The 7,701-nt window shown below is 48.4% G+C and overlaps 1 protein-coding gene across 6 annotated transcripts in view, besides 2 other annotated features; it reads right to left on the reverse strand.

Moving 5' to 3' along the window:
• KSR2 (kinase suppressor of ras 2) overlaps window positions 1-5,706 on the reverse strand; it is a 515,979-nt gene extending 510,273 nt beyond the window's left edge. For all 6 annotated transcript variants that reach the window (XM_011538224.4, NM_173598.6, XM_017019208.3 and 3 more), the window contains exon 1: window positions 4,792-5,706. In XM_011538224.4, coding sequence (XP_011536526.1) covers window positions 4,792-4,971 — 180 coding nt within the window. In that variant the 5' untranslated portion in view covers window positions 4,972-5,706. The remainder of the gene's footprint in view (window positions 1-4,791) is intronic.
• Window positions 5,719-5,988: a silencer, noted in NCBI's record as "silent region_4918". NCBI's record gives its function as "represses an Ori minimal core promoter by ATAC-STARR-seq in GM12878 lymphoblastoid cells {active_cell/tissue: GM12878}" and the evidence as "EXISTENCE:reporter gene assay evidence [ECO:0000049][PMID:35858748]".
• Window positions 5,999-6,108: a silencer, noted in NCBI's record as "silent region_4919". NCBI's record gives its function as "represses an Ori minimal core promoter by ATAC-STARR-seq in GM12878 lymphoblastoid cells {active_cell/tissue: GM12878}" and the evidence as "EXISTENCE:reporter gene assay evidence [ECO:0000049][PMID:35858748]".

Raw genomic sequence — 7,701 nt, forward strand, 5'->3', positions numbered from 1 at the left:
CAGGGTCCACAAAGCCTAAACTCTTTACTATCTGTCCCTTTCCAGAAAAAGTTTGCCAGCCCCTGCCGTAGGCTGCCATCCAAGGCAGGCGAATCACTTGAGCCCAGGAGTTCAAGATCAGCTGGAGCAACATAGCAATACCTTGTCTCTATTTAAAAAATACAAAAAATTAGCCAAGCGTGGTGGTGCATACCTGTAGTCCCAGCTACTCAAGAGGCTGAGGCAGGAGGATCTCTTGAGCCCTGGAGGTCAAGGCTGCAGTAAGCCATGATCGTGCCACTGCACTCCAGCCTGAGTTACAGAGTGAGACCCTGCCTCAAAAAAAACAAAACAAAAAAGCTTATACTTTTCTATTGTATGCATTCCAAAACCTTTGAAGACTTCTATCTCCTTCCACAAAGGGATGAAACGTTGTTGGTCTGACTCTCTAATCTTTAGTTGGATCCCAGAAGTTAGTGGCCTAAATTCATTTCCTATGACAGGCTACCAGGTACCCTCCATTCTGGGCAAAATGGTCTCTAGGCTGCCCCATGAAGGCATTCAAATACCTTCATCTGGTTTGTTGTTCTTGTCCAGCATGCTCTCCCCTTTTGCTGCAATCTAAACCCTCCTCATCCTTCACTCCAAATCCCCATCTCCCCAACCAAGAAGGTTTCCCTGCTTTGCCAAATGTTTTCCCAGGTGTATCCTATGGAACAAAAATCCCAGGAGAAATCCTTGGGCCGGGTGCAGTGGCTCACGCCTGCACTTTGGGAGGCCGAGGCGGGCAGATCATCTGAGGTCAGGAGTTCAAGACCAGACTGGCCATCATGGCAAAAGCTCGTCTCTACTAAAAACACAAAAATTACCAGGGCATGGTGGCGGGCATCTGTAATCCCAGCTATTTGGGAGGCTGAGGCAAGAGAATCACTGGAACCCAGGAGGCAGAGTGAGCTGAGATTGCGCCACTGCACTCCAGCCTGGGTGACAAGAGCGAGACTCCGTTCTATCCTCTCTTGGAGGCCTAATACACATAGGTAGCATATTAAAGGCTCTGAGAAAAGTCCTGCAGTAAAGATGCCTGTTTCCCTTTGCTTAACTCAACCCTTCCCAAACTTATTAACCACAGAATTTGTTTTGTCCACAGAACACTTATTGACTACCAGCATTAAGTACAGTGCCTGGATGTCAGCATTTGTTGAAAGAATTAAAAACGCTAACATCCCACAGATTTAGGGTTCTACAGAACATACTTTGGAAATGCTACTCAAGCTCCTCCTTCTCTCTGTCCAATCTGAACTGCTCCCTTCCATGCCATCTAGTCAACACCATGTAATGCCAATCATTATCATCATCACAGCTGTCATTCATTTAGCACCTGCAGCCACTCTGTTCCAGATAGTGCTAGACCCTTGAAAACGTTATCTCTTTCAATCCTTATAACCATCCTCTGAAGTAGGGAATATTATTTAATTATTGCTGTTTTGCCAAAAACTTAAAACTATAAATCAGAAAACTTAAATCACTAGCCCAAGATAAAGTAAAAAGACAAGCTAGAATTTACAACTATATCAGTCTGACTCAACGTTCATGAACTTTCTTTTCCACCAAAATATCTTCTGACTATGTGCCATGGCTGCCATCGCTGGCTGTCCACTTACTTAATATCTACCTATGCCTCCTTCCACACTAGCAGAGCCCTGATTTTGCATGGAGTGGCAACATGTCATTTCAGGCAATGGATCATGATCCATCTAAGCCGATCCTGGTGGTGGTCCCACTTCCCCACTTCCCGGGCTCCCTTGCAGCTAGGACTCAGTTCTGGCCAAGAAGATATAATCAAATCATCTGCAAGGTGAGGAGGAAGAGATGTCCTGGGGAACCCTTTATTCCTTCACACTCACCAGGTCCTCCTCTTTCCTACCTTGAACTCAGATGTAATCGCTGAAGCTGCAGGAACCATCTTGCAACCATAAGAGAAAAGCCATGAGAATTCCCAAAGACATCAGCCCTGGTATTACTAACCTACTGAGCCAACTGAAGCAGCTATATGTCTCCAGAATTCTTGTTACATGAAGAGAAACCATTATTTGCCTTACTGCTAGGATTGGGTTTTCCATTTCATGCAGCTGAACACATGCCTAATGGGCTCACACATTGTCCCCCATATTATTTACCACTTAGACTTTATCATTATTTCACATACACATTATTATATCATGAAGTATGCTTCCTGAAGGCCAAGTCCACCTTGCATATTTTTGTTTCTACAGAAGTGTATACATGCTATTAAGTGCTGTTCATTATCACAGCACTGTTCAGGGATCATCTATTCAATTTATTACTTGCATTAGTGTTAGCAAGCAGTGAGTTTTCACCATTAAAGAGCTGAAATATCACATCTTTCTCCTAATGGTTTAGCATCTCAAAGTGTCCATTTGAAAACATGTATCAGAAATACCTGGACTGTTTATTAAACGCAGATTCCTTGACCCTCTTGCTAATCCCAGCTAAACTAGAATCTCTAGGGTTAGAGGCTAAGAATCTGCATTTTAACAAGCACCCTCATATGGTTTTGATATACAAAATTAGAAAATTCCGTGGACCCAAATGTTAGCGTTGGCTGGACTTGGCTGGACCCTAAGTTACCAGCCCCTCTGCAGGGGCCCTCCCTAACCCTGCAAATCTGGGAAATACAAATTGGAATAATTGCTCAAGAGCATTCCCTGGGCAAGATGGATGAAAGTGGTTGCATGCTCTGTAGCATACTGGGACAAGGGAACTGAAAACAGATGCATTTCCTACAACTGCAACTCCCCCATAGCCATCCTACCAGTGCCTCCATCCCCCCAGTTTAAAAGGAAAACCACTAGGCAGAAAGAAGGCAATGCCCACTGCGGCACATCCCCATCCAGGAAGCTATCAGAGGATGGAGCATGTTTGAAACAAAAAAAAAGAAAACTTCGAAGAAACTTACACAGGAATACACAAACTAGCATTTGGGACTCCTGATTCAGAGGAACAGAAGAGAGCTCAGGTGGCTTTTTTGGGGTTATTTATTGACTGCATGCAGGTCTGAAGAGTCTGCTCTTGGGCACTGTTCAGGCAGAGACAGAAGGCTGGATCAGAACATCCCACACTTTTTCTTCCAGCAACAGAGCTCCGGCCTCACCTGCTCTCCCAAGCTCCAGGAAAGGCAATACCTGTGCCTCCCAACACAATTCCCACTCTCCCGATACACCTTGACATTGATCTTATTTCATCTCTGAGGATCACATTTCCAGATGACAGGTGCACACAGACATGCATCCTAGGGTAGCAAACAGCATGTTCTCTCTCTCTCTCTCTCACACGCGCACGCACACACACACACACACACACACATGCTGTCTCTCTCTTTCTCTCTCTCCCTCCCTCTCTTTCTCCCTCCCTCTCTCTCTCTCTCTTCTTTCAAAGGGATGACCTCCTGCATGTTGACATCCAGCCAAATTTAAAAATCACGGAAAAAAAAGAAATACCCAAAGCGAATCCGAGAAAAGCACCCATCCAGGCTACAACAGGGGCAGGAGGGCCACAAGATTCACTACGGACTGACGAGTTCAGGCCTTGGGAACTCATGTGCCAGGACCAAGATGAACGTCTCAGTACTGCTCATGCCCACTCCACCACAGAGGGAACCCCTGTTCTCTCAGCCCCACTGCCCCCACCCTCGGCGGATGCCAGCTAATGGAAGTTCCCAAATTTAATCAACCCATGCGTATAGCTGGGTTGGTTTGGGAGAAGGAAGTGAGCTGAACCCTTCAAACATTTTGAACAATGCAGATGTCCAGTGATCTCGTGGACACCAGGCATTTGGCATTTCCTAAGCCTCTTTAAACCTTCCTCCTTTGACCAAATGGCCTTCAGAAAAAAATAATTTCTGCCATCTTCTTTCTGAGTAACTTTGCAACCACCCTTCATCCCATCCCACTCCCCCAAAAAACTGTTTCAAACTCCCCCTCAAGTTCTGCCGGAGAGAATGTCACAAGAAGCCAAAGATAACTCCTCCTCCCCGACCCCTTTCCTCTTTCCTCACAGTCCCACTGAGATTCAGGAGTATTCTCCCACACCACCTATGTGTGCTGATTGAGGCATATTTTTTTTTCCCTTTTGTACGTTTTAGGCCTGCAACAGCTCACTGCATCAAAACGATTGGATTGGAAATGGGTAGTTCCATAGGAATTTTTTTTTTCATGCATCTTGCCTCCTGACATGTATATCACTGATTTAAAACAAAAAATCTAAGGAGCAAAAGGAGGGAGGGGAAGAAGGCCAAGAGAAGAAGAGGTCTACACTGACAGGCGGCCCCATTCTGTGAGCAAAAACCACCTTTTGACCACCTGCAGAATGCGCAAGGTCACGTGGGTTCTCTGCAGCTCCTTAATGTATTACCCGGCACACAAGCCCCCGTGGCATATAAACAAATCCACAAGCGGAAAAAAGAGAGAACTCCCTCCTCAGCGAGGAAGCGAATGACAACGGTAACAGCCGCAACAATAATAATAAATAAAGAATAACAATTACTACTACTACTACCACCACCCAGCCAAGCGCAGACGACAGCAGCACAGTAAAAGGATATCCAATGCAGGCTTTGCAAGGAGAGAAATCACAGAAAAGCAAACCGTGCCCACCTTGCTTGCCCACACCACCACCCCCAGCCCCCAATAAACAGAATCAGAGGGAAAGGGGACCGTGGGGAGAAAGGAGGGGGAAAGAAGGATTGCTTTTTTTTTTTTTTTTTTTTTTTTTTTTCCCGTAGGCAACACCTACCTCCAGGGTCCGGATTTCTTTTTGTGTGAGGTCGTTGGAGGTAGCACATTTGGTCCTAAGCCCTTCCAGGTTGGAGATGCTCAAGTCTATCATGTTTTGGACCAGTTCGCACTGCTGTAAGGCTTTTTGCAAACTCAGAGGCTGCTGCTCCTCGCTTTTCGTCATGTTTTCCTCATCCATCGCTTGCTCTGCAACCCCCTTCCCCTCCTCCTCCTCCCAGAGAGAAAAAAGAGGGGGGGGAGTAGAGGTAGTCTACCCTCCGCCTCTCCAACCACTGCGACTTCTCAACAATGTCTCATGAAGAAGAAATCCAACATCTCACACAGGGTTGAGGGGGTGGGAGTGGGAGGAGGGGACAAGAGCCAAAATTTATTATTTTATTTTGGGATATCAAGCGGACTCCATTAGAATGTCTCCTCTCTCTCTGAGTCTCTGGTCCCTGAAAAGGAGAGATGCTGTTTCTCAGAAGCAAACCAGGTGATGTGATGCTGTCTGTACACTTAGGGAGGAGGAGGAGGAGGAAAAAGAAGAGGAGAAGGAGGAGAGAGAGGAGGAGGGAGAGGAGGAGGAGGGAGAGGAGGAGGAGGAGAAGGAAAATAGCGCTCACTCTTTACACACCGGCTCCTTGAAGGACAAAATTATATATTTTTGGCTGGCTTGCTTTTATGTCAAAAAAAATCTGGTTTTCCCCCCTCCCAGTTGCAGGGACACGGCATGGTCCACGGTTTGGAGTGCTTTAGCGCGTTCTCAAGGTGCTGTCTGCATTGCTCCCGCGGCTGCGGCGGCTACTGCGGCTGGCTGCTGTCTCCTCCCCGCGCTGCTGCTGCTGCTGCTGCTGCCGCCGCCGGGCTCCGGGGGTGACGGTTGCTGCAATCGCTCCTGCCTCGCTCCACACCGACATCTTGCCTGTCAATCAAAGGGCGGGGGGGAGCGAGGGAGCGCCGGAGAGGGATGGAGACCAAGCGAGGGACCTGCAGGGGAGCGGGTTGGTGGAGAGGCGCCGTGCGCGCAGCCGCCCCAGCCGGGCCCCGGCCCCGGCGCGCCAGGGACCCGTCGGAGGAGGCGGAGGAGGAGCGCGCAGACTCGCGCACCTGGCCGGGGGGCGGGATTTCTAGGGGCTGCGGAGCTCGCGTGGCAAAGTGAAATTACTACCGGGAGTGCGTGCGAGCGAGCAAGCGAGCGATCGGCGGGCGGGGGCGCGGAGACAGCGCGCGCATCGGGCCCAGCCTGCTCCCGGGGGCGGCGGGGGAGGCCGGGAGTGTGCCCGAGCCTGGAGGCTGGGCGAGGGGGCGGGGAGAGGGATTTGGTGGCGGGGAGCGGGTGGGGGCCACTACTCCTGCACCGCTCTCGCGAGACCGGGCCGGAGTGCTGCTCAGCAGGTGCGCTCCGGCTGGGAGCAGGTGTGCGCCCAACTTTAAAACCCTCGGTGCGCGCCGGAGAGGCGTCGGCGTGAACCTGGGCACATCCCGTCTGTCTTTAGCTCGGGGGTGGTGTGTGTGTGTGTGTGTGTTTGCCTTTTTTGTTCGTTTGTCCTTTGGGTGTGTGTTTGTGTGTGTGTGCCTTTTTTGTTCGTTTGTCCTTTCTTGTTACTGGGGAAAAAATAAAGCGAACCTGATGATCTTCCGTGAATTTCAGGAAGCTGCCTCCTAGACTTGGTAGCCTGGCCCGCCCTGATGGCTTTCCATTTGGCGAGGAAAAGGGCCTTTGCCTTATTCTGAGTATTCCCATGTCCTACAAGTGTCTGTGTGGCCTGACCCCAGCATACCTAACTGACGTTATATCAGCAAACGATGGCTCCACAGTTAAGATGGTTTTTACCTTTTGAAATTTTTGGAAGCCTGGTGAGGTGGCTCATGCCTGTAATCCCCAGAACTTTGGGAGGCAGTCAGGAGGCTCGCTTGAGGCCAGGAGTTTGGGACCAACCTGGGCAACAACATAGCAAGACCCTGTCGCTACTAAAAATTCAAAAATTAAAAATGTAAATAAAATGGTTGGAAAAAAATGAAAATAACATTTTGTGACACGTGAAAGTTATGTGAAATTCACATCTCAGTGTCCACAAGTAAAGTTTTATTGGAGTACCACCACCCATCTGTTTATTGTCTGTGGTTACTCCTGCGTTGTAAAGCAGAGTTGAGTAGCTGCAGCTGAGACCGGTGGTTCACAACACCTGAAAGATTTACTGTCTGGCACTTTACAGAAAAGTTTGCTGACTCTTGATTAAATCTTTGTACTCTATGTCCACAGTGCTCAGAACATGCTTCACCCTAATCCTCTCCTGGTGGGTTTCTTCTTGTCACTGTTAACTCAAATATCATCTCAGAGAGGCCTCATCTCCCTAACCACCTTATCTAATAGTATTCCCAACACACATTGCCCAACAGATGTATTTAGAATGATTAGCAAAAGGCACCTCTTTCTTTAGGTGAACAGAGCCCTGTGCTGAGGACTGAGTAAGACGTGATACTCAGAACACATGGTATAATATGTCACTCTTAAATGAAGCCACTTGAAAAGCAGAGCGAACAGGAGCCAGTGGTGGCCACGTTGAATGACAACCTTTATTTTTAAGTTCTGGGGTAAATGTGCAGGATGTGCAGGTTTGTTACATAGGTAAACGTGTGCCATGATGGTTTGCTGCACCTATCAACCCATCACCTAGGTATTAAGCCCAGCATGCATTAGCTATTTTTCCTGATGCTCTCCCTCAACACACTTTTTTTTTTTTTTAAGACTGCCAGCTGACCCGGTGTGGTGGCTCCCACCTGTAATCCCAGCAATTTGGGAGGCTGAAGCGGGTGAATAGCCTGAGCTCAGGAGTTTGAGACTGCCTGGCCAACATGGTGAAACCCTGTCCCTACTAAAAATACAAATAATTAGCCTGGCATGGTGGCAGGCGCCTGTAATTCC

This window comes from Homo sapiens, chromosome 12 (genome assembly GCF_000001405.40).
Source record: "Homo sapiens chromosome 12, GRCh38.p14 Primary Assembly".
NCBI classification, from domain to species: domain Eukaryota; kingdom Metazoa; phylum Chordata; class Mammalia; order Primates; family Hominidae; genus Homo; species Homo sapiens.